General features: G+C 39.8%; 1 protein-coding gene across 13 annotated transcripts in view; it reads right to left on the minus strand.

Annotated features, from left to right (window-relative positions):
- Positions 1-25,993, minus strand: part of SH3D19 (SH3 domain containing 19) — a 205,325-nt gene that overhangs the window by 82,390 nt on the left and 96,942 nt on the right. For 5 of the 13 annotated variants that reach the window (NM_001378130.1, NM_001378127.1, NM_001009555.4 and 2 more), the window contains exons 1-2: positions 23,498-23,750; positions 23,377-23,416 (exon numbers count right to left, since the gene is read on the minus strand). Coding sequence is in view for 2 of the 13 variants with exons in the window: in NM_001378122.1 (NP_001365051.1) it covers positions 23,377-23,416 (40 nt within the window). In the remaining 11 variants the exon portion in view is untranslated. Of the gene's footprint in view, positions 1-23,376; positions 23,417-23,497; positions 23,751-25,089; positions 25,240-25,993 lie in introns of those variants that run through there. The other 8 variants (NM_001378131.1, NM_001378128.1, NM_001378122.1 and 5 more) reach the window with 3 other exon arrangements.

Consider the following 25,993-nt stretch of genomic DNA (forward strand, 5'->3'; position numbering starts at 1 on the left):
GGACAGGTAGGTAGGCAGACAGACAGACAGACTTCTTTTTAACAACCTTACTTTCAAAACACAAGATACAGTCTTTAGTAATCCCACTACCTTTAGGTTCCATCTATTTAGGTAGCAAGTATTTATATTTTATTAATGGAATAACAGAGCATGAGGGCCCTTCTAAACACCCAAAACTAGTGTGATAAAGTTGGACATTTTGCTTCCAGACAAATATTCTGACCATTAAAACTGGGGCTTCAATTTTCCCAGGAGAGATTATACAACTGTTTCGGTCTAAGTTGAACTATGTCAGAGGCTATTTGGAATGCTGCCTAAAATTTCAAGAATGCTGGGGGATTGAAGGGGGAGAGGAGATGGAGACAAACGAGGAAAGAGAAATGTGACTGTTGGTGGTGGGGTTAGGATCTAAGACTCACTTCCAAGCTTGACTCCTAATCCCACCTCATTCCCACAGGCCACAGTCCTAACACCAAAGGTCTGAAAAAGACAGGTGGAATTCCCATGACAGGACCCCCAGCAATCGCAGCATCGGTGCCACTGACCCCATCATCGCCACCAGCCCTTTCCCAGGAAGAGTCAGCTGACACGGAACAATCCTTGGCAGTGGGGATTGGGGCTACTGGATGACTTTCAGCAGCCTGAGAAGTCAACAGTGTGAAGATCACCAATGCACAGAACCTAACCAGAAAGGTTTTCTTTAGCTTATTTATTTTTGCAAGTAGCTTCAAAAAGGAATAAACTTCTAGAGGTCCTCAGATTCTCTGTTATTTTTATTTCAAGTGAAAATGTTTCCTTGCCACTAAATTCAGGAAACACTCACTGATCACTGATAACCTCATGATTACGGACCATGGCTGGAGATAAAAAAATGAACCACTGCCCTCAGGTGGGGATGCCAGCCCCACCAACTTATAAAGGTCATTTGTGCTCTAGATAAAAGTATGCCAAGGAACTGTCTTTGGTTTGTTTTTGTCCCTGAGAAATCAAAATGTTTCAAATAATAACTTTAATCCTAGTTTTAAAATTTTAACACCAAGACTTTGTACTTGTATTCCCTTCTAATTCTAACCTGCTGTTAGAAATGTTTGTTTTCAAACTAGGACTTTCTATAAGAATAATGACGTTTCTCTTACTGAAATAATTCAGCCTTGATCATTTTATTTTATATTATTTAGGGGAACAGAATAAAAGCTGGTCACCATGCTAATATTAAATTGCTGCAATTTATTTCATCATAATAATTTTGTGTGTATGTTTTTGGGGGAGGATTTTTTTTAAATAAACTTTTAATTGTAAATTAGTTTTAGATTTCCAGAATAGTTGTGAAGAAAGTTGTCACATACCCCACACTGTTTTCCCTACTATTCTCATCTTACATTAATATATTTGTCACAATGTGTTTTTAAACTAGTCTGGTATAAATTCTACTTCTCCATGTTTTATTTGTAAGAGGTTTATAGAAAGTAATAGAAAAAAAACCCTACATGAATTAGCATAACACTGAACTGTAAACACTGAGTGACAGTATTGTTAGCAAAAATGATGTCAAAACCTAAATATTTTCTTAAGGTAAAGTCATGTCCAAATCGAGGAGTGAGGACAAGTAGGCCCATTCACAGGACTCACCACTTTGACTAGCTCCATACAAAGACAGAATATTTGGGTTGGTATTTTACAAAGAAGTACTAGTAAAAGGAAGAAAAATGCAGAAGGCAGGAAGACTGCTAACTCTTAATAGGGTTTACATAGTAAATCAGGGTGAAGAAAAATTTCTGTAGATTTATTTTTTAGGGTTCCAAGTCTTTACATTTAGTATAAACTACCTCAGTGTCTAGCAAAATGCTTTTCACACACAATAAATATCTTTTGAATGTAAGTGAATCTCACTTTCAAAACAAAACATATCATAGTGCAGAAACTCCAGTACATCTGCCATTTGATGTCAAATATGGATTCATCAATGTTTCATGGAGATGTTATTTTTAAAATCATGATCTTTCCAACATCAGGCCTACATAAACTAAAGTTGTTGTTTTGCCTCAGGCTTAAGCAGAACAAATCTATGGGAAACTCAAAGGTGATATTTTTAACAATCATTATTTAAAGAAATATAGCAGTACCTTATTTAAATACTGAGATCAAGTCTGTTCTTTTTTTCTTTTTTTGAGACAGAGTCTCACTTTGTCACCCAAGCTGGAGTGCAGTGGTGTGATCTCGGCTCACTGCAACCTCTGCCTCCTGGGTTCAAGTGATTCTCCTGCCTCAGTCTCTCGAGTAGCCGGGATTACAGGTGCGCACCACCACACCTGGCTAATTTTTACATTTTTAATAGAGACAGGGTTTCACCATGTTGGCCGGGCTGGTCTCGAACTCCTGACTTCAGGTGATCCACCCACCTCAGCCTCCCAAAGTACTGGGATTACAGGCATGAGCCAAGGGTGCCCGGCCAAGTCTGTTCTTTACGCAAATAGAAGGCCAAAGAGAAGAGGGAAGAGGTGAGCATACAAAGGTATCCTGGGAATTTGTACAAACAGGAAGTACAGCTGAACTTTGTGCAGTGCTGGGAAACACGGCGGCTTTTTGTGCAAGCTCTCATTCTTCCTTTCTCTCTGAAACCACATCATCTCTGCTTCAATCTTCACATCTTCTGCTACACTTGAAGATTGTTTGCTGGCATTCCTGTCTTTGTACATAAAGCATCTGTTTGTTTTAGGCTATCAGTGAATTCTTGGAGACACAGAGAATGTAGGACCATCCCCCTGATGGTTGTCAGACAGAGCGTGAACTGTGTGAGGAGTCTGGGGGTCTGACAAGCCCAATTTCAGCTCTGCCTTTACTCACTCCATGAGTATAATCACATGTCAGTTTCCTTATCTGTAACATGACATTATTGGATTGGATGATCTCTATTCTACCCACTAGGTCTAAAATTTTTAAAATATGAAACTTAAAACACTCCAAGATTCCAATTTAAATTCATTTAATAAGAATCAATTACTTAATCCAACTGCAGTAAGGGAGCTGGACTTGATATTTAATCCATTCCAATAATAATAAAGAAATAGCTAATCTAATTGACCTACACTAATGGTTTTACATCTTTTAACTCACTTAATCCACACATCCACCCGTACAAGAAGGTACTGTTATCATCCCAGTTTTAGAGATGAAAAAAGAGTTTACATAATTTAAATGTCAAAGGACTCATAGCTGGTAAATGGTGAAGTCAGGACTGGAACTTGGACAGTCTGACTCTAGGCAGGGCCAGAGTTCTTTGCTACTGTGCTTCACTATCTCACAAAAAGTTCACATACAGTTGACTGTTGAGAGGAAAACACACACACACACACACAAAACACATTAGGTGAGAATTGTGATTTAATTACCAAAGAACCTTAAGAACTGTCTTCTTTCACTGAACATCCCATGGCTGGAAGAGTTAAATCAGAAGCAACGGTGGAGGAAAGGGGGCAGAATCTTAAATAGTATCAGAAAATGATTTAAGACTTTTATCACTCCTGGGATTTATTCACAAAATATAACATGTCAGGGAGTATATACAAATAAATGATAGGATATTTATAGGTCTGGCTGTATTTTGTGTTGTTTCAGAAAATCCTACATTAAAGAAGGTTTTTTTTGTGTGTGTGTGTCTGTGTGTGTTTTGCCTTTTGTTGATGAAAGAAGACAAAACAATAAAGTCTTCTATTACTCACTGGCATAGATCTGATGTCAGTGTTCATAAGACAAGCAATACACTTCCCTCTTCATACAACATATTATATGGCATGGCTTTTGTTTCTCCATAAATACTGTAAAGTACTACCCTACTCTATTTTCTCAATATATTCATGGCACCCTAATCTATATGGAAATAAATTCTAGAATCAAGGCTATAGTTTTGGTAGTCCTAAAACCAACATGAGTATGTTAGGTATGTGACTTTCATTTCTAAATTACGGTATTGTTATCATTATTTCCTCTAATGGTATTGCATTGACTTGTGAGGTTAAAACAACTGAAACCCCTTTAAACTTGAATTAAATTAAAGGGGTTTTTATTATGAGCATACAAAGGTATCCTGGGAATGGGTATGAACAGGAAGTGCAGCTGAACTTTGGGCAGTGCTGGGAAACAAGGCAGCTTCTCGTGCATGCTCTCATTCTTCCTCACTTTCTCTTTGGGACTACATCACCTCCGCTTCAGTTTTTGCAGTCTTCTCTTGAACTCCCTGCTCATTCACTGGCATACCTGGCCAGTGTTCATCAGCATGCATATCCTACCAAGCCCAAATCTAAATAATTTTAAACCTCCAGAAACCATGGCTGTCAGCTCTGTCTTTTAGTTTAAACTTTCATGAGAAAAAACTTGATTAGCATACCTTATAGGATAGAGTTCTATCAGCTATGGCCAAATGGGGTAGGACCACGTGGAAACCTGGCCATAGGTGCCTTTCTTTCAGCTGAGACTGGAGGCTTGGGAGGCAGTTCTCAGGGATGCATGAGATAAGATTTAGTAGCAGTGCATCACCACCTCATCGTTCAAAGCTATGGAAAAAAACTAAACACTGAAATGCAGGCCTAGAGAATCTACAAGAGGAACAATTACAGGAGTTGTTTCCAGAGTGATTGGTAAAAGCTTGAAACCCAAGGCCACCAGGAAGTATCCTAACAGTTTATCATGCTTTTACCATTAGCTATTTTACTTCTGAGTGGCCTATCTTTTCCTACTTTGAGTTAGAGGGCAAAGAAGACATCCTGCATTCAGAATGAGAGGAGATTAGGTTATGCTCAAAGAAATGCAATGAGCTTCCCTAAAGGAAGTTGATCACTGTGTGGAAAAATTAGCACTAGTGAAAAGAGAGGACCAAATCTGTATCTTTTCTTCAGGTAGCCAAAGGTAATATTTTGCCACTATGACAGAGGCCTGTGGGACTACTCAACAGTTCCTATCAACTCCAGACTTTACCAGTTCATACAAAGCAGGCATATGTAACAATAGTGTGCTTCTCCAAGCACGAAGGGATAGCACAAATGTATAAGAGCAAATACCGCCTGGATCAAGGTGTTTATGCAGATGCTGGCTTATGCTCCTTCACAGAATCCCACCATGACCACACACCCTGGCTTGAGTTGAGAGAATTCTTTAGGACAATAATAATGCAATTGTAGTTTCTTATGACAAAACTAACAAACATCAAACTGATATGTCAGAAAGAACTTCTGGGTTACAGAGACTTGAAGAGCCCTGACCTTGAAAAGCAGAGATAACACTGAAAATCATTTCCAAGTGGGTTTAGCCTGCTTAACTGAGGTCCAAAGCAACTGTGATAATCAATTTGATGTGTCAACTTGGCTAAGCTACAGTCTCCAGTTATTTAATCAAACATTAATTTACACGTCACTATAAAGGCATTATGTCAGTGTGATTAAAGTCCACCAGTTGATGGGACTTTATCAGGGTATAGTATGGGAGATTATTCTATGAAATCTGTGTGGGCCTGATTTAATCAGTTAAAAAGCCTTAAGAGCAGAGCTGAGGCTTCCATAATGAAAAGAAATTCCACTTGTGGATGGCAGCTTCACTCCATGGGTGAGAGTTCCAGCCTGCCCTTCCTGATGGCCTGCCTTACGAAATTCTGACTTGCCTAAATCAGCTCCAACAATCACATAAATATTTCCCTGCAATAAATCTTTATCTCTCTCTTTTTTTTAAAGATGGAGTTTCACTCTTGTTGCCCAGGTTGGAGTGCAAAGGTGCAATCTTGGCTCACTGCAACCTCTGCCTCCTGAGTTCAAGAGATTCTCCTGCCTCAGCCTCCTAGGTAGCTGGGATTACAGGCATGCGGCACGAAACCTGGCTAGTTTTTTGTATTTAGTAGAAATGGGGTTTCACCATGTTTGTCAGGCTGGTCTCCAACTCCTGGCCTCAGGTGATCCACCTGCCTTGGCCTCCCAAAGTGCTGGGATTACAGGCATGCACCACTGTGCCCGGCCCCAGGAAATCTCTTTTTTTTTTTTTTGAGATGGAGTCTTGCTCTGTCACCCAGGCTGGAGTGCAGTGGCATGATCTCAGCTCACTGCAAGCTCCGTCTCCTGGGTTCACGCCATTCACCTGCCTTAGCCTCCCGAGTAGCTGGGACTACAGGCGCCCACCACCACGCCCGGGTAATTTTTTGTATTTTTAGTAGAGACGGGGTTTCACCGTGTTAGCCAGGATGATCTTGATCTCCTGACCTTGTGATCCGCCCGCCTCAGCCTCCCAAAGTGCTGGGATTACAGGCTTGAGCCACCATGCCCGGCCAGTAAATCTCTTTAATATACATCTCCTACTGGTCCTGTTTCTCTGGTTGAACCCTGACTGATAAAGCAACTAAATAATTATAATAACCCCAAGAGATAGGTACTTTAATTAGCTCCATTTATAGATGAGGAAACTGAGGTAAAGAAAGATTAAGAAACTTTCCCAGGGAACCCAGCTCCCAAGTGGTGAAGCTGGGATTCTAACCCCGTCAGCCTGATGCCTGGACCCAAGTACTTCACACACTATCCCACAGCTTCTCGAGTGGTTCTACCAATACAGGCAGAACCTAAACAATCGAAAAAGTATTTTTTTTTTTTTTTAAGAGAAAGCGTCACTCTGTCACCCAAGCTGGAGTGCAGTGGTGCAATCTTGGCTCACTGCAACTTCTGCCTCCTGAGTTCAAGCAATTCTCCTGCTTCAGCCTCCTGAGTAGCTGGGACTACAGGTGCTCACCACCACGCCCAGCTAATTTTTTGTGTTTTTAGTAGACATGGGGTTTCACCATGTTGGCCAGGCTGGTCCCGAACTCCTGACCTCAAGTGATCTGCCCACCTCGGCCTCCCAAAGTGCTAGGATTACAGGCGTGAGCCACTGCACCCAGCCTGAAAAAGTATTTCTTAAAAATCATTTTGGATTGCCCTAGAAAGCCTCCAAACTTGGGCATGACCTGAGAGTATTTTTAAAATTCACTTTGGATCACCCTAAAAGTTTCCCAAATTTGGGCACAGACAGTCCAGATTTCAAATACAGGCTTAAGAGTTATGCACTGGTGTCTATGCCTTGAATCCAAGTGATCTGACTCCTGAATGGCTTCAGAAAGGCCTCTGAAAAGCTCCGAGCATACAGATTTCCAGAGGCTGTGGATTAGTACAAGACCCCTTTTGGAAAGTGCTCTTTTGGGACCTGAAATAAAAATAACAGAAATGGGTTAAAAAATCTGAGCATTATAACATAAAAATATGAGTTAAACTGGAAGAAACAATATTCTTATTGGACACCTTCTAGGACAGAGTTCTATTAGCTATGGCCAAATAGCGTAGGACCATTTTCTTCTGGTTCATCCATAAAAAACACAGGGAAAGGGAAGAATCTCAAAGAATGTTACAGAGGTAAGAATGCAACCCTTCATGAAGATAATTTGGTAGTATATATGAAAAGTCTTAAAATATTTATATATTTTTTGTTCCATTAATTCTACTGCTAAGAATTTATCACAAGGAGATAATCAGTGATGGTCCATAAAAATGTAGGTATAAGAATCTGATTACAGGATTATTTACAATAGTAAAATCTTGAAATAACCTAAATGTCTGATAATAGAAAAAGTTTGGTATACTACATGATGAAATGCCATGAAAATCATGTTATGGGAAAATGTTTATAAACTATTGTTTTATGAAAAGAAACTTATATATATCATCCCAATTTTTTTTTTTTTTTTTTTTGAGACAGAGTCTCGCTGTCACCCAGGATGGAGTGCAGTGGCGCAATCTCAGCTTACTGCAAGCTCCGCCTCCTGGGTTCCTGCCATTCTCCTGCCTCAGCCTCCCCAGTAGCTGGGACTACAGGCACCTGCCACCACACCTGGCTAATTTTTTGTATTTTTTAGTAGAGATGGGGTTTCAGGTGTTAGCCAGGATGGTCTTGATCTCCTGACCTTGTGATCCGCCTGCCTCGGCTTCCCAAAGTGCTGGGATTACAGGCGTGAGCCACTGTGCCTGGCCCCCCAGTATTTTTTTTAAAGTACACCAAGTATGCACAAAAGAAAGACTGAACCACCAATATACTAACAGCAATTATTGTTGACTATTAATGATTTTATTTTTTTCTCCTTTTTGTATTTTGACAAACTTTCTATAATAGGCACGTATTATTTTATAGTAACAAAATTTAATTGTTTGTTGTTGTTTTTTTCTTCTGAAATTGGGTCTTGCTCTGTCACCCAGGCTGGAGTATAGATCATAGTTTACTGCAGCCTTGCAACCTCCCAGGCTTAACCCCCATCTCATCTCAGCCGTCAGGAGTTCGAGACCAGCCTGACTGTCTCTACTACAAATATCTGACTATCTCTACTAAAAATACAAAATACCTGACTATCTTGTAAAAATATAAGATATCTGACTATCTGTATTAAAAATACAAAATTAGCCAAGCGTGGTGGTGCATGCCTATAATCCCAGCTACTCGAGAGGCTGAGGCAGGAGAATCACTTGAACCCGGGAGGCAGAAGTTGCAGTGAGCCAAGATTGTGCCATTGCACTCCAGCCTGGGCAACAAGAGCAAAACTCCATCTCAAAAAAAAAAAAAAAAGATAGTGAACTTAATGGATAAATGTTGTGTGTGTTCTGACTGTTCCACTGGCAGTTCCCCCATCTTTTCCCCTCTCCTTGGGTCTCCTTATTCCCTAAAACAATACTGAAATTAGGGCAATTCATAATCCTACAGTGGCCTCTAAGTGTTCAAGTGAAAGGAAGAATTGCACTTCCTTCATTTTAAGCTGAAAGCTAGAAATGGTTAAGTTTAGTGAGGAAGGCAGGTCGAAAGCTGAGATAGGCCAGAAGCTAGGCCTCTTCCACCACACATTTAGCAAATCTGTTAATTAAAAAAAAAAAAAAAGGTTCTTGAAGGAAATTAAATGTGCTATCCCAGGGACCACATGAATGATAAGAAAGTGAAACAGCCTTGTTGCTGATATGAAGAAAGTTTTAGTGGTCTGGATAGAAGATCAACCCAGCCACAACATTCCCTTATGCCAAAACCTAATCTAAAGCAAGGTCCTAACTCTCTTCAATTCTATGAAGGCTGAGATAAGTAAGGAAACTGCAAACTGCACAAAAAAGTGGGAAGCTAGTAGAGGTTGGTTCATGCAATTTAAGGGAAGAAGGTGTCTTCATGACATAAAAGTGCAAGGTGAAGTTGCAAGTGCTGATGGAAAAGCTGCAGCAAGTTATCCAGCAGATCTAGCTAACATGATTGGTAAAGGTGGCTACACTAAACAGCAGATTTTCAGTGTAGATGAAGTAGTATTATATTGGAAGAAGGTGCCATCTAGGACTTTCCTAGCTAGACAGAAAAGTCAATGTCTGGCTTTAAAACTTCAAAGGACAGGCTGACTTTTGTTAGAGGCTAATGCAGCTGATGACTTTAAGTTGAAGCCAATGCTCATTTACCATTAAATAATTTTTTTATTTTTTAGTAACAAGTTCTCATTCTGTCATCTAGGCCAGAGTACAGTGCTGTGATCAAGGCTCATGACAGCCTCAACCTTCTGGGCTCAAGCAATCCTCCTGCCTCAGCCTCCCTGGGACTACAGGCACATGCCAACACACCTGGCTAATTTTTATTTTTTGTAGAGACAGGGTCTTGCTATGTTGCCCAGGCTGGTCTCAAACTCCTGCCCTCAAGCAATCCTCCTGCCTTGGCTTCCTGAAGTGCTGGGATTATACGTGTGAGGGGCACCTGGCCTCATTTACCATGTTGAAACTCCTAGGGCCCTTAAGAATTATGATAAATCTATTCTGCCAGTGCCAGTGGAACAACAAAGCCTAGATGACAGCATATCTGTTTACAGCATGGTTTACTAAATATTTTAAGCCCACTCTTGAGACCTATTGCTCAGGAAAAAAGATTCCTTTCAAAATATTACTGCTCATTGACAATGCACCTGGTCACCCAAGAGCTCTGATGCAGATGTACAGGGAGATTCATATTGTTTTCATGTCTGCTGACACAACATCCAATCTGCAACCCATGGATCAAGGAGTTATTTTGACTTTGAAGTCTTATTATTTAAGAAATACATTTTGTAAGGCCATAGTTGCCATAGATAGTAATTCCTCTGATGAACTGGGGCAAAGTAAATGGAAAACCTGGAAAGGATTCACCATTGTAGATGCCATTAAGAATATCTGTGATTCATGGGAGGAGGGCAACGTAACAACATTAACAGGAGTTTGGAAGAAGTCGATTCCAACCCCCATGGATGACTTTGAGGGGTTCAAGACTCCCGTGGAGGAAGTAACTGCAGATATAGTGGAAACAGCAAGAGAACTAGAATTAGAAGTGGACCCTAAAGATGTGACCACATTGATGTATCTGATGATAAAGCTTCAGTGGATGAGGAGTTCCTTCTTCTGGATGAGCAAAGAAAGTAGAATTTACTCCTGGTGAAGATGCTGTAAACATTGTTGAAACGACAACAAAGGATTTAGAATAAATTTAGTTGATAAAGCAGTGGTAGGATTTAACAGGATTGGCTCCAATTTTGAAAGAAGTTCTACTGTAGGTAAAATGGTATCAAACAGCATTGCATGCTGCAGAGAAACTGTGAAAGGAAGAGTCAATCGATGTGGCAAACTTCATGGCTGTCTTATTTTAAGATATTGGGACCAGGAGTGGTGGTTCATGCCTGTAATCCCAGGATTTTGGGAGGTAGAGGTGGGTAGATAACTTGAGCCCAGGAGTTCAAGACCAGCCTGGGCAACATGGTACAATCTGTCTCTACAAAAAAATACAAAAATTAGCCAGGCATGGAGGCACACACCTGTAGTCCCAGCTACTTGGGAGGCTGAGGTGGGAAAACTGCTTGAGCCTAGGAGGTCAAGGCTGCAGTGAGCCGTGACTGCACCACAGCATTCCAGCCTGGGTGACAGATCAAGATCCTGTCTTGGAGGGAGGAATTAATAATATGAATTAATTAATTAATTAATTAATTTATTTATTTATTTGACAGGGTCTTGTTCTGTTGCCCAGGTGTGTGGTGGTACAATCCTAGCTCACTGTAGCCTCAAACTCCTAGGCTCAGGGCTTAGCTAATCCTCCTGCCTCAGCCTCCTGAGTAGCTGGGACTACAGGTGCATGCCACCGTGACTGGCTAACTTTTAAATTTTTTTTTTTTTAATTTTATTTTTATTGATCATTCTTGGGTGTTTCTCACAGAGAGGGATTTGGCAGGGTCATAGGACAATAGTGGAGGGAAGGTCAGCAGATAAACAAGTGAACAAAGGTCTCTGGTTTTCCTAGGCAGAGGACCCTGAGGCCTTCCGCAGTGTTTGTGTCCCTGGGTACTTGAGATTAGGGAGTGATGATGACTCTTAACGAGCATGCTGCCTTCAAGCATCTGTTTAACAAAGCACATCTTGCACCGCCCTTAATCCATTTAACCCTGAGTGGACACAGCACATGTTTCAGAGAGCACAGGGCTGGGGGGTAAGGTCACAGATCAACAGGATCCCAAGGCAGAAGAATCTTTCTTAGTACAGAACAAAATGAAAAGTCTCCCATGTCTACTTCTTTCCACACAGACACGGCAACCATCCGATTTCTCAATCTTTTCCCCACCTTTCCCCGCTTTCTATTCCACAAAACCACCATTGTCATCATGGCCCGTTCTCAATGGGCTGTTGGGCACACCTCCCAGACGGGGTGGTGGCCGGGCAGAGGCGCCCCTCACCTCCCGGACGAGGCTGCTGGCCGGGCGGGGGGCTGACCCCCCACCTCCCTCCCGGACGGGGCGGCTGGCCGGGCAGAGGGGCTCCTCACTTCCCAGTAGGGGCGGCCGGGCAGAGGCGCCCCTCACCTCCCGGACGGGGAGGCTGGCCGGGCAGGGGGCTGACCCCCCACCTCCCTCCCGGACGGGGCGGCTGGCCGGGCGGGGGGCTGACCCCCCCCACCTCCCTCCCGGAAGGGGCGGCTGGCCGGGCAGAGGGGCTCCTCACTTCCCAGTAGGGGCGGCCGGGCAGAGGCGCCCCTCACCTCCCGGATGGGGAGGCTGGCCGGGCAGGGGGCTGACCCCCCCACCTCCCTCCCGGACGGAGCGCCTGGCCTGGCGGGGGCTGACCCCCACCTCCCTCCTGGACAGGGCGGCTGCCGGGCAGAGACGCTCCTCACTTCCCAGACGGGGTGGCTGCCGGGCGGAGGGGCTCCTCACTTCTCAGATGGGGCGGTTGCCAGGCGGAGGGTCTCCTCCCTTCTCAGATGGGGCGGCTGGGCAGAGACGCTCCTCACCTCCCAGACGGGGTCGCGACCGGGCAGAGGCGCTCCTCACATCCCAGACGGGGCGGCGGGGCAAAGGCGCTCCCCACATCTCAGACGATGGGCGGCCGGGCAGAGACGCTCCTCACTTCCTAGCTAACTTTTAAATTTTATGTTGCCCAAGCTGGTCTCAAACTCCTGGCCTCAAGCAATCCTCCTGCCTTGGCCTCCCAAAGTGTTGCGAATACAGGCATGAGCCACCACAGCCGGCCTCATTAAAATATTCTGAAGACCGTACTTCAGTTTATAAGGCCTCTTCTACCTAGAGTTTCTCTTCAGAATCCATGACCAAGAGAAACTACTGGGCAATAGATAGTGATACACTTTAAGTCCGCCTGTCATTCCTTGATAGCATCCCTGAACTGCCTGCACAAGGCAGTGTGCCAAGGGAAAACATTATCTTGAGGAAACAGGTTTATAGTTGAGGGAATGTTTGTATTGTAGACACAATGTTACTCTGAAGCCTCCAAACAATCCATACTTTCCTTCCATTCTTTCATTTTTTTAATTAACAAAGGATACTGATTCTCAATCCTCCTGTCCAAAAGGAAGCAAGGTCACAAACAAGTCCTTCAGGATTCCTGCCTTAAATGTTGCTGCATTTAGAAGTGTTGCAAAAGAGCTGGCTTGCTCACTCTGCATTTCTGGAAAGATGGCCTACAACTAAAATGAGATTAGAAGTGGCAAAAACTTATCATGAGGGCAGAAATGAATGCTCTGATTTATTATGCAGAGGAGCTGCTAATCAACAAAGATACTTCAAACCTTGAAATTGAATTCTTGGGACCAGGCCTGATTTCTGGTTTCAGGAAAGGGTTTTACCTTTTTTTTTTTTTGACGGAGTCTTGCTCTGTTGCCCAGGCTGGAGTGCAGTGGCGTACTCTCGGCTCACTGCAACCTCTGCCTCCCGGGTTCAAGTGATTTTCCTGCCTCAAGCCTCCTGAGTAGCTAGCTGGGATTACAGGCGCATGCCACCATGCCCGGCTAATTTTTGTATTTTTAGTAGAGACAGGGTTTCACCATGCTGGTCAGGCTGGTCTCGAACTCCTGACCTCGTGATCTGCCCATCTCGGCCTCCCAAAGTGCTGGGATTACAGGCATGAGCCACCGCGCCCAGCCAGGGTGTTACCTTTAAGGACAAGACTGAATTCCGATCAACAGCAGTTTACTTTTAATGAGACAGGAGGTGATTGAGCTAATGAATGACTGTTCAGTAATTCTGTCCTAAGATTTTTCCAGGAATTAGCTAGTACGCTTCTGTGGCGTACAGTCCTAATCAATACATTTGAAGAATGTGATGTATGCTGTGTTCAATAAGGGAAAATATTTGAATAAAAATTTAAAGTCCACTTTCCCAAGGATATTTATTAGTTGGAGTAAAACCATAACCTAAGGATAGATTGAGGGCCACAAAGATGTATACAAACTTCACTTGACTACAGGCTGTTTAACCAACATTTTGTAGAACTGTATAAACAACTACTTCTAAATTATACTGCAGAAAGGTAAATAACTAATATAAAATATAACCCAAGGGAAAGAGAGGAAAGAATTAGGATGAAAAAAATTTAAGGGCCAGGAGTTCCATGCGCCCTGGACTGCTGAGAAATGGGTGGCCAACAAGCCCATCTTGAGAAAAAGTAATAAACACAAGACCAGCTGCTGTTCCAAAGTTAACTGCCTGCTGATAGTTTAATTTGAAACAACTTCAGAAAAGCCCCACACTAAGTACTATGGCAGTGGTAGACCAGCCAATAAAACTTTTCAATTACCCAACTGCTACACCATATACATGCTTCATTTTCATTCCCATCACACTAGGGGGAAATGCTAAAGTTACATTTCTGAAAACCACAACAAAACAACACTGTGTGTGTGTGTGTGTGTGTGTGTGTGTGTGTGTGTGTGTGTGTGTGTATTCTCTGTAGGATGACAAAAAAATGTTAATAGTCCTTTCACATCTTCCTTTGCAAAAGAATTTCCCGCCCACAAAACCTGTATATATTTAAATGTTTCACCTTGTTTATGGCATTACAGATGCTGCAGCAAAAGTAATGTTTCTCTTATTGCTTAGAAAACATAATGCCAGAAAGTAATTACACAGAGCTATAGTTTATAGAGGTACAGGTATCAAAACATATGGTCAGGGAAATGCTACAGAATTTCAGTATTAAACTAACCCCAGCAGAGCATGGTATTTTGATAGACATACTTAGAAAAGAGAACAGCTAAAACAAGTTAAATCTTTTGCTTTTAGCTAATCTATTTAAACCACAATGTGATGATGGTAAAGTGTCAAAATAAAATCTTCAACATCTTCATAAAATCAACAAAAGGATACCAATGCAGAGAACCAAGACCCTTTTAAATTCGTAATGATATAGTGATTGCTATGAGTTTTAACATCACCAACTATTAACTCTGAGAGTACTAAACTATGTGCTACAAATATTCTGCATGTTGAGTTTCAGTCTCTCCCTGTGCTGGGTGACATTTCAGGCCACATTATGGGGAGGGAAGTTGTAATGGGCTCTAGAGAACTTGGAACAGTACCAAACACCAGGAAGCTATCTGAGATTTGGGAAGCAAACAGACATGTACGGCACATAAAATTTAAAAACTTAAAAGTAATTGTGAATGAAAACAAAAAAAAAATCTATCTTGGAAGAACAATAAAGGTTTTCCTACACATCTATACACAAAGATATGAACATAAAGATGCTTATTGCAACATCATTTCTAACTGCAATGAATTGGAAACAACCTAAAGGACTGGTTAAATAAATTATAATAAGGTTACACTGGAAAATTTTATGCAGTAGTTAAAAAAATAATGAAGTGGAAACTGACATGGTAATACTTTCTAAATAAGTTAAAAAAGTCAAATTGACAGAAACACATATATATGTATACAGATATACAAACATACATATAAGCACACATACTACACATACACACACATATATATATCCCCATTTGTTCTAAATATTATTTAAATATATGCTATATATATGCATAGAAAGCAGACTAGGATAGACACTGAACCACCACTCTTAAGTCACCTATGGGATAAAGGCAGATACCACATGTTTCTGTACTATTAAAACATGTTTTCACGTGTTAGTTGTAGAACTCTTAAGTGCCAAAAAAGAGAAAAATTTGCAGAGAAATACAAGATGCTTCTAGTAAAAGGAGACATGGGAGCAGGTCTATAAGTACAGGTAAAATCTGAAGTGTTTAATCAATTTTTTCTGAACATTCTTGACTATTTCCTCAATTTTTCTCTTTAAAAAGAATTCACTCAATTTTATACTCATGTCCTATAAAAACATCTTTATCATTGCCATAGGATTCAAAAAGGTCTCCTGATGCCATTTAAAAAAAAATTATGAAACTATGCAGAGTTTTTTTTTTTTCTTTCTTTTTTAAGAGACAGGGTCTCACTCTGTCATGCAGGCTGGGATACAGTGGTGTGATCATAGTTCACCAAACTCCTGGGATCAAGCAATCCTCCCACCGTAGCCTCCCAAGCAGCTAGGACTACAGGCATGAGTCATCATGCCCAGCTAATTCCCAGGAGTTTAAAAAAGTATAGATAATATTGCAAATCCTATCTCTTAGCTTAAGAAATAAAACAGTCAAGATACACTTGAAGCTCCCTGTGGATCCTTTCCTGGCCCATTCATTTGATAATCAATACCCTAATTTCACTATTTATGACTTCCGCACATCTTTTTATACTTTTAGTACCTATACGTAGTCATAAAAATATACAACAAACAATGTATTATTTGTGTTTTGCCATGTGGTCCCTGTTGGTACAACTCTCCTGTTGTAATGTGAAAGCAGCCCAAGATGATATGCAAATGGACATGGCTGAGTTCCTGTAATATTTTAATTAAAAAATGGTGGCAGGCCAGATTTGACCCATTTGCTGACTTCTGCTTTATATAAATGGCATTATACTGTAACTATCCTTCTACAGCTTGCTTTTGTCATCCAAAATTATGTTTCTGAGATGTATCCATGTTCTCACATACTACATATCCTTAATTCAAACAGGGCTACTCTGAACTGACAAAGATTCTGAAACTTTTCCTAGTCCCATCTGTGTACTTCCTTGTAAAATCCAGTTTTGGCAGTAAGTCAGTTTAGCAAGAATCCTCATCTTCAATATCAGATTACTCTTAACATCTGATCAGGTTCAATCCCCTGCCATCCTCTTGGTGATGTCTGATCACCCTGGTCTGACTTCAGCAAGAATCCTATTAGGTCAACTTAGCTATAATCCCCTTTATCCCCGATGTCTCCTCTCAGTAATTTTCTATCCACTGACCCCCACGCCCTGCTCTTTTACTATAAATTCCCACTTGCCCATGAGTTGAGCCCGACCTAACTCCCCGACTGCAAAATCCCATTGCAGTTGTCCCTATACCTATCTTGATAGTCCTGAATAAAGTCTTCCTTACAGTTGTACCAAATTACATACTCTCATATGTACTTGGTATTTTCAGTCTTTGAGAGTTCTGTGCCAATTCCATGGAAGTGAAATGGTATCTCATTACCATGTTAGTGCACATCTTAATCCTAGCAAGGTGAAGAATCTTTTCATATATTAACTGGTTACTTAGGTTTCATCTTTTATGTGTTCCCTACCTGTATTTACTTGTCTTTTTCTTCCGTATGCGTAGTTTTTCTTTATCCTGGATACTAACCTTTGTCACCTACGTGCACTGCACAGTCATGACTTCCCTTTTCACATGCTTCCGATGTATTCATGTACATAAATCTTAAATTTTCACATAGTCAGATTTATCAGTCTTTTTCTTCATGGTTTGTATTTGTTGACCCTTAAGAACTCACTACCTCATAAAGATATTCTTATATATTTCTTTGAAATGTTTCCATTTTACTTCATTTCTTTAGATTTTTATCTCATGTCATAAGATAAATCAAATTCCGTGTAGATTAAAAATATGGATAATCAGTTATTCAAGCACCATCTGTTGACATACCAGCTTTCCCTCATTGATCCGTAATGCTGCCTCTATCATACCACATGACACAGAACTCTATGCATTCATCTATGTCTGTGGGCTCTTTAGTCTGCTTCAACAACCTATTTCTAGGTTTGCTGACAAAAGACTGTCTTAATTACTTAAAAGAGTTCACCTCTCCTCTTTGATCTTCAAAGTTGCCTTGGTTAGTCTTGCTCTTCCTTATACATCTAAGAATCACTTTGCTGAATTTCCATTTTCTTACTTCTATGATTTTTAATGAAATTTCATTTAATTTTATGAATGGATATCAAAGGGGATTATGACAGGTCACTATAAGAAGACTTTAGGGAGGCCAAGATTCAAATGACAATTTTTGAGAAATAGATTTAAGGTTCTTTGTTTTGCCGCCTTCTTTTTTTGCTGCTGTAAAATATTTCCTTGTAGTAGATAAAACATTTGAGATGAATTAGCTGGTAGTTCAGACCCCTAAGTCATCAAGATCTATTATTTAGAGCTGGTGGGATGGTAAAAAGAGCTCTTAATTTTCTATTGGTGGCACTGACTGCCATAGGGCTTAACATTCTTTATTATCTTTAGCTCCTACTTCCCTCTAATTCGTTTCCCAAACTGCCACTCCATGGTACTTTTTCCTAGATGTTATTAATAGCTATGTCTGGGAAAAGAAGTTATAAATTCAAATAAATTTTTAAACGAGTGTGTAGTATAGCTCTCACTTGGAGTTTTATAATGTACTTGAGTGTATCAAAGACTCTGAGGAGCATCACAGTAAAGAAATATGGCTAATTTTGTTTAACTCACCATTTCATAAACTTTTCTGCATATTAACACTTATTTCTTGACATACTGATTAATAATCTACAGAAGAGAGTTCTGTGGGACATCAATTTGGGAAATGGTGTGTTTAAACTAGTAAGGTTGAGACAAGAACAACGCAGATATTTCTCACATGTGTATCAATCAATCGGCAGCAAGCAAATCAACATCAAAACAAAGTAATCAAAAACCACCCAGGATGCCTTTTGCTTGGGGTCTTAGTGTTGGCCTACATATGATAAAACTTTTCCTTTAACTTGACAAGAATTATGTTTTCCTTCTTAGTTTAGCACTGAGGTGAAAGAACAGGCAGACGTCCCAGATTTATTCACCTCTTACTATGAAAGCTATAGGAGTGCTTGGCCTCTAAAAACACAAACAAGAGAAATGCATTTCTGTTATCCCTGTTGGGCTTGGAGCCCATCATTCTTGTTGCCAAGTGGCCTGAGGAGAACCGAAAAACATACCAAAATTAAATGACTTTTTGTTTATATTTTCTTCTTTCTGCTCTGTTGATGCAGCAGGTATTAATCTGCTTGATGCACTGCTGGCCTGGCGGGGTAGCCCTGCTCAGCTGAGGATGGCAGGAGAACAGGTCACCGCCAATGTCAGCAGATACCCTGGACAGAAAACGATGTCCTTTCCTGAAAAAACATTTCTCCTTTCTTATAGGGCATCACTCCTTGCTGTTGTAACACACAGATCCAATAATAGTCGTGGGCGAGCTTTTGAGAGTCAGGTTCTTCCCGATTTGTAAGGTAAAAATACTGATATTTCCCTTTCTCTCCTCAAAATACCTTTGGCATTTATTTATTCAACAATTATTTATTGTTTATTGTGGGCCAGGCAATCTACTAAGTGTCAGGGTTACCAAGACCAATAGCACAGTCCTAAAGAACTTGACAGTATAAATAAGAGATTAAAAATACTGAGAATACTTTCCGAATACCCTCAAAGGTACCACAGCATTGCCTAAAATATAACTGTAAAGACTGGGAACTTCACTTTAGGGTCAATAGATTCTCAGAGATTGGGAGTGTAAGTCCACAACAATGGACCCTCCTTCAACCTGGAGACTTTTTCTTATTTTCTATTGTATTCTGAGCCAGAACAGAGACTCACAAGAGATATTTATTGGCTATTAGTGAGCAAGGAGCTGGAGCCATCTAGAATAATGACTTAGCCATGCATGAATCTTCTCTATTTTTATTTCCAGCGCTAGCTTATTTAGCTTTTCTTTGACAGCATTACTTCACAGAGTAGCCCATTCCATTTTTGACCAGCTCTGTCAGGAAATTCTTCCTCATTTTGTGCAGAAATATATCCCCCTCCAAGTTCCACCCACAGAGGTGCATTCTGTCCTCCCTCTGGGACTCCCAGGAACACACACAACAGTTCTCTCCACTGTGTCCTTCTATTTTGAAATTTTCATGTCTACAAAAAAGCTGAAGAAACAGTATAAGTAACACCTATATGCCTTTCATCTATTCACCAATTATTAACAGTTTCCAATATCTGCTTCTTTATTGCTCATCCTGGGTTTTTTCCCCCTGAATTGAGATTTATTTGCAAACATAAAACTATATCACCCTTACATTAATACTTTGGCATATATCTCCTAAGAATCACATTCTCCTGCATAATAACATTTCTATTCTACACCTTAAAAAGTAATGTTTAATAAAATATTATTTAAAATAACATCCATGTTTAAATTATCCCCTCCCCAACCTTTTTTAAAGTTGGGATTTTTTAGTCCTAGATTTTTTTTTTAAATTCACATATTAGATTTGGTTGTTAATATCTCTTTGGTCTCTCTCTCTCTTTTTTTTTTTTTTTTTTTTTTTGAGACGGAGTCTCACTCTGTTGCCCAGACTGGAGCGCAGTGGAGTGATCTTGGCTCACTGCAACCTCTGCCTCCCGGGTTCAAGTAATTCTCCTGCCTTGGCCTCACAAGTAGCTGGGATTACAGGCATGCACCACCATGCCCAGCTAATTGTTAGTAGAGATGGAGTTGGCCATCATTTTGGCCAGTCTGGCCTCGAACTCCTGACCTCAAATGATTCACCTGCCTTGGCCTCCCAAAATGCTGGGATTACAGGTGTGAGCCAACGCGCCCGGCCTCTTTGGTCTCTTGTTACCTGGAATATTCTCCCAGCCTTTTTTTTTTTTTTTTTTTCCTTAGGACTACTACATAAGTGTACTGCTTATCTCACTAGTGATAATATACATGTTGACTACTTGATTTAGATGGTGACCACTAGGTCTCTCCATTGAAATGGTAAATTTTCCCCCTTTGCAATTAAAAACTGATCTGTGGGGTGATATTTTAACAACTTTTCCCAACAACTTTTTTTTTTTTTCAACAGCAGCTGGTATCTTTTGATGTTTCCCAACAACTTTTTACAGAAGTTTTAGCTGCCACTGATGATCTTTGCCTGCATCAACTATTACTTTGAGAATTACAAAATGATGATTTTCTAAGTTCTGTCATTTCTCCTACATGGGATCCATTATCATCATTTTTTTTGGATACTCAAATTACCCCAAAATTTGGCCAGTGAAAATCCCTTGATGCTACCATCTGTCTTTTCAACATGACCCCATTAGTTGAGCACTTCCTAGCTTTCTATCACAACTAGATGTCCAGGATCATCTTGTATTTTCCCTTAGCCCAGACCCAGAATCCGCCATTCCTCCAGTGGCCAGCATTCCTCTTAGTAGGGAACAGCATTTATTAGGAAGAATTCTGCTAGTTTCCTCCACGTATCAGCCTCTGGGTGTTTGAAGCCAGTTATCGTTTCCATCCCATGCACTTCCCCAAACTTTCACATCTGGGCTAAGTTCTCCCAGTTCCTCACACCAGTCTTCCTATGGTTTAGCTTTGACTTTTATCTTACTCTTTTTTTTCATCTTCCCTGTCCCAACTCAGCTGCTATATTCTAGACCAGTGGTCCCCAACCTGACTACGCATCAGAATCACTGGGGGACTTGTTTAATATACAGATTTTGAGGATTCATTTGAGACTTATTAAATAGAATATCTGGGGTTGGGCATGGGATTCTGTTTTGTTTTGTTTTTTAAGGTCTCCATGTGGTATCTATACAGTCACTCCACTGCATACTTCAGTTTTTCAAGGTCTTGTGGACCCCAAATTGAACAGAATATCAAAAGTATGATCTAGGCCGGGCACGGTGGCTCACGCCTGTAATCCCAGCACCTTGGGAGGCCGAGGCAGGTGGATCACGAGGTCAAGAGATCGAGACCACCCTGGCTAACATGGTGAAACCCCGTCTCTACTAAAAACACAAAAAATTAGCCAGGCATGGTGGCGGGCACCTGTAGTCCCAGCTACTCGGGAGGCTGAGGCAGGAGAATGGCGTCAATCCAGGAGGCGGAGCTTGCAGTGAGCCGAGATTGTGCCACTGCACTCCAGCCTGGGAAACAGGGCGAGACTCCATCTCAAAGAAAAAAAAAAAGTATGATCTAGAGCTACCACTTTTAGCCTGAACATTAAACTTCTTTCAGTGTAATCAAATCGGTGCAGACTTTTTTGGGGGAAGGTAGATGTAATGACATAAGATTTTTGATTCATGGTAAATTTATGAAGAACTAAATCCTTCAGACTTTTTCAAAAATATTGCTAAGTCACATCTCCCTTATCTTTTTATGTTCCACTGGTGTTTCATTCTAAGGGTTTCCATTTGTGCCTATTAAAATTCATATTGCTCAGTTCAGTCCAATCTTCAGAATGTCAAAGGTCTTGGGGATCCTGGTTTTACCATCCTAAGTATTTTTGACTCTTCCAACTTTATGTCACTCACAGTTAAGCATGCTGTCAAAGTCCTTTCTCTTACATTGCCTTATTTTTATTTTTAACAGAGATGAGACAGTGTTTTGCTATGTTGCCTAGGCTAGTCTTGAACTCCTGGGCTCAAGCGATCCTCCTGCCTCAGCCTCCCAAGTAGCTGCGATTACAGGTGTGAACCACCATGCCTGGCTGCTATTTTTCTTTAAGTATCTAATATAAAAGAATCTTACGAACTGTTTAATGATTATGGTGGTAGATACATAATTGTACATGCCTATCAAAACTAGTAAGATTATACACAAAAAAGAATGAATTTTAACATATGTAAATTGTACCTGGAAAAAAAATCAGTCAATATTCTAAATACCCAGCTATATTCTTCTCTCAGATTAGGTCTCACTAACTTATTTTGATTGACAATTTCTGCAAAACGCATTGCTATTCTAAGCAATGAAATTTTTATAGATCTTATATTTTTATTGATTGAGGTCAATGCACTCTAGGGTTTGATCTCTTGAAAAAGCACCAGGATTTGGCTTACCAGAGCAGTCAATCCAATGAGTACATTACTTTAACAATTCCCACAAAATAAAACATCAAAAAAGGTGGTAGAATGTGGAATAAAAAGAAATTAATATTAGAAAAATTATAATCTTTCATAGTACTGGGTTACAAATATTAAATATAGCCTGTCAGTCCTGCCTATGAGAAGTCAGACAATTTTTCACCTATAAGTTTGACAAGGATTTTTTAATGTACTCTTCAGTGTTGGAGAATTCTAGTGAAATACACTCAGTGTGGTTGAGAGCTTAAGTGATACAACCTTCCTGGCCACTTGAAATACCTAACAAAAACATAAAATAATCCATTTGAATATATACATACATATATAATCTAAAAGTCTAGAAAGAAATGTACCAAAATTTTAGCAATAGCCAGCCATCTCTGGCTGATGGAAGGCAGTCTGGGTTTTGTTTTGTTCTGCTTTTTTCATGCTTTGTATTTTTAAAATATCTTTTAAATTTCTACAGTGAGCCTATATTAGTTTTATGATTAGGAAAACAGCAGTACACACTTACAAAAATACTGGTTAAAGGGAGGGGAGGAAAATAAGTCACAAAAACTAATAAATGAGAGTAAAATAATTTTTACGAAAATATATCTGTCACTGATGGGAATTCCTAAAATAAAACATGTTTTCCAGGTAGTCAATAGTTTTATGTGAAATTTTAATTCAGAGAATGAATAAGATTTCCCTTATGAAGCTTCTCTGAATGCTACAGAAGATTCCAATAGACAGTAACTCTAAAGAGGACACTTACATTGCTTCCAAACAATACTTTTCAAATAAGAAGCTTTATACAGAATTATTAGATACTGTAAATTCATACCTTGAAGAACGATGTTCTGGTTTATTTCGTTCGTTGCGATCTGTAGAGAAAGAAGATGGTTACGTGTCAAAAGGTTCTTTAAAAGCTCTGGAAAGAAGTTTTTAAATACCAGCTGCCATACCATTAGATTTCACAAAGGACTGTTCAAAGGTAGTTGTGTCTTCCTAAGTATAAGGCTCTTCATCACAGTTCGCCTGACAGAGGCAGAAAAGACACAATGAAGGACAGGCATAAAAGCTTACGGTTTGTTAAAATCATCTACTTGGAAAATGCATCATTACATGCATTATTTCATTTTATAAGATCTTTCCTGTGCTAAATACTTTGCTAACACTAGAAGAGATTTAGCTAAGGAAAGAAAGCAAGGAAACTGCAAAGCCACAGATTACTCAGCTCAAAAAAATCATTCCATGAATCATGGTTGGCAGAAGCTTCTAACAGAATGGGGAGGGGGAAAAATGAGCAGTCAGCTACAACATCTGCAAATACTAAGACCAATACAGCTTCACCCTTAACTATCTACCACCCAGAACATTTCAGAAGTTGGATTTCAATGTTTCTCCAGTAATTAGATATAATGTGCTCTCTATATAAAATTTTTGATCGTCACAACTGGGAAGAAGGGAACTCTCATGGGTAGAAAGCAGGAATGTTGCTAAAGATCCTACAATGCATAGAGCGGTCCCTTTCACCAAAAGAATTATCTCATCCAAAATGTCAGCAGTGCAGAGGTCGAGAAACCCTGCTATAGGGTAAGAAATAAGAGCACAGATGCTTGAACTTTTCAAAAGTGACTCTCTAGACTGCTGTAACATGCTATTAATCAACCTTGAGACTATCATATACAAGAGAACCATAAAACCCACAGGTTGTCTTTTTTGAACCTGAGTAACAATTTTTCCTCCACTATATGCTTAAGAATTAAAAATAAATGAAGTAAAAGGCCGCAGTGTTATGCAAAAATAAACAATATGAAGCAATATACAAACCACAATATATCCTAAGCAATGACGTTAAGAAAAAATCCTATGGAATATTATCAAAATACAGTTTTCTATAGTATCTTCTGAATTAATGCTAACAAGATAGAATTTAATGGCAACGTAAAGATTAAGACAGGAATGCTTTTAGTTTTTCCTTAATTTTATTGCTGTTAGAACAGAATAAGAGGATTATGAAACATACTCTAAAACTTCTAGAAAGAAATATGGAAGAAAAGGAATAGGATTTACACAGTTAAACGTATGTAACAATTCTTTCTGAATGAGTTCATAATAAAAAAGAAATGTTTTTCAAAGCCAAAGAGTTAGTACTCATGAAAACACTGTTCTCTGAAAGACTAATAAGTAAAAAGATTCACAATAAAGCATGCCTGCTTAGATATAATGATTTCCAAACACATAGTGTTAGCACATTTCTGGTTCCAATTTTTCTACACTGTGACTTAGTATTACTGCAGCTTTTAAAACTTTTCTGTTTTAATTTAACTTGGTTTTACCCCTCCCTTAAATGAAAATATCATGTTTTTCATTTGATGAGTATTAAGATTTTAAAGTCATAGTAACGCAGGGCACATTTAAATCATTTCTCTCAATCATTCTCCAGTTTTTAGCCTGCTAGCTTCGCTACAAAAATGAAGTATAATGTCTCAAAGTAAAGCCAGAAACTGAATACAGATTAGCTATCCTCATATAACAAAGCAACAACTCTTACCTGTGGCTAAAGCCGAGCTAAAACTCTGTCCAGAACATCATTTCCTGTGGCTGTGATCCTAGTTACATAGTTTACTTAGGCATGTAATAGCAAATTTCCCCACTAATCTTCCTAGTGGTACAACACACAAGAGGAAGGGAGAAACAGAGTCACGATGCATGTAAACAAGACTCAGTATCCAAGGGCTTCCCTCCAGGGCCTGTTCTGATTGGCAGATGTGCTATGACCAGTCTGCACAGCTGGAATGTGGCCACTCAGGAAGCAAATGGCTCACAGCTCTCCTTCGTTCTTGGTTAAAACAGGAAATTCTACAGTCATTTTTATACTTTCTGCTCTAAGAAAATACAAATGTCTTCTCATAGCACTTTTCTATTGAACCAGTAATTAAAATTCAACAAAAGACTTGATTATCTGCTGGGGGAAATTTTAAAATTTTCCCCCCAAATTCACTATTAGTGTTATCTGTGTTACATTCCTGTGTAAATATAGATACGCAGTACTTATAAAATGTTACTCCTAAGAATTCACATAGTTGATAATTTGAGGGTAAGGGTAAATTATCCATTACTCACAATATTTCCCATCCCTCACCTCTTGACCATGAAAAACAAATTGAAACACATGTTCTTGGCTTGATCTTTTCCCTCAAAGTATACAAATATTTGGATTTCACATTTTGCCATAAAGCCATCTTTTAGCTTAAATACATATAAATAATGGGGTGTGTGTTGCGTATCTGTGTGTCTTATATACTTATACTTTTTCATATACTTACATTTTAAAGTAATTTTCATGATAGTCAAGATTATTGTGCAATTGTCAAGAAATATATTAGTAGAAATAAATTTTTTGGCAAAATAATAAGTGGTTATTATTTTGTTCCAAAAGCCAAGACTGAACAAAA

This window comes from Homo sapiens, chromosome 4 (assembly GCF_000001405.40).
Source record: "Homo sapiens chromosome 4, GRCh38.p14 Primary Assembly".
Taxonomy (NCBI): domain Eukaryota; kingdom Metazoa; phylum Chordata; class Mammalia; order Primates; family Hominidae; genus Homo; species Homo sapiens.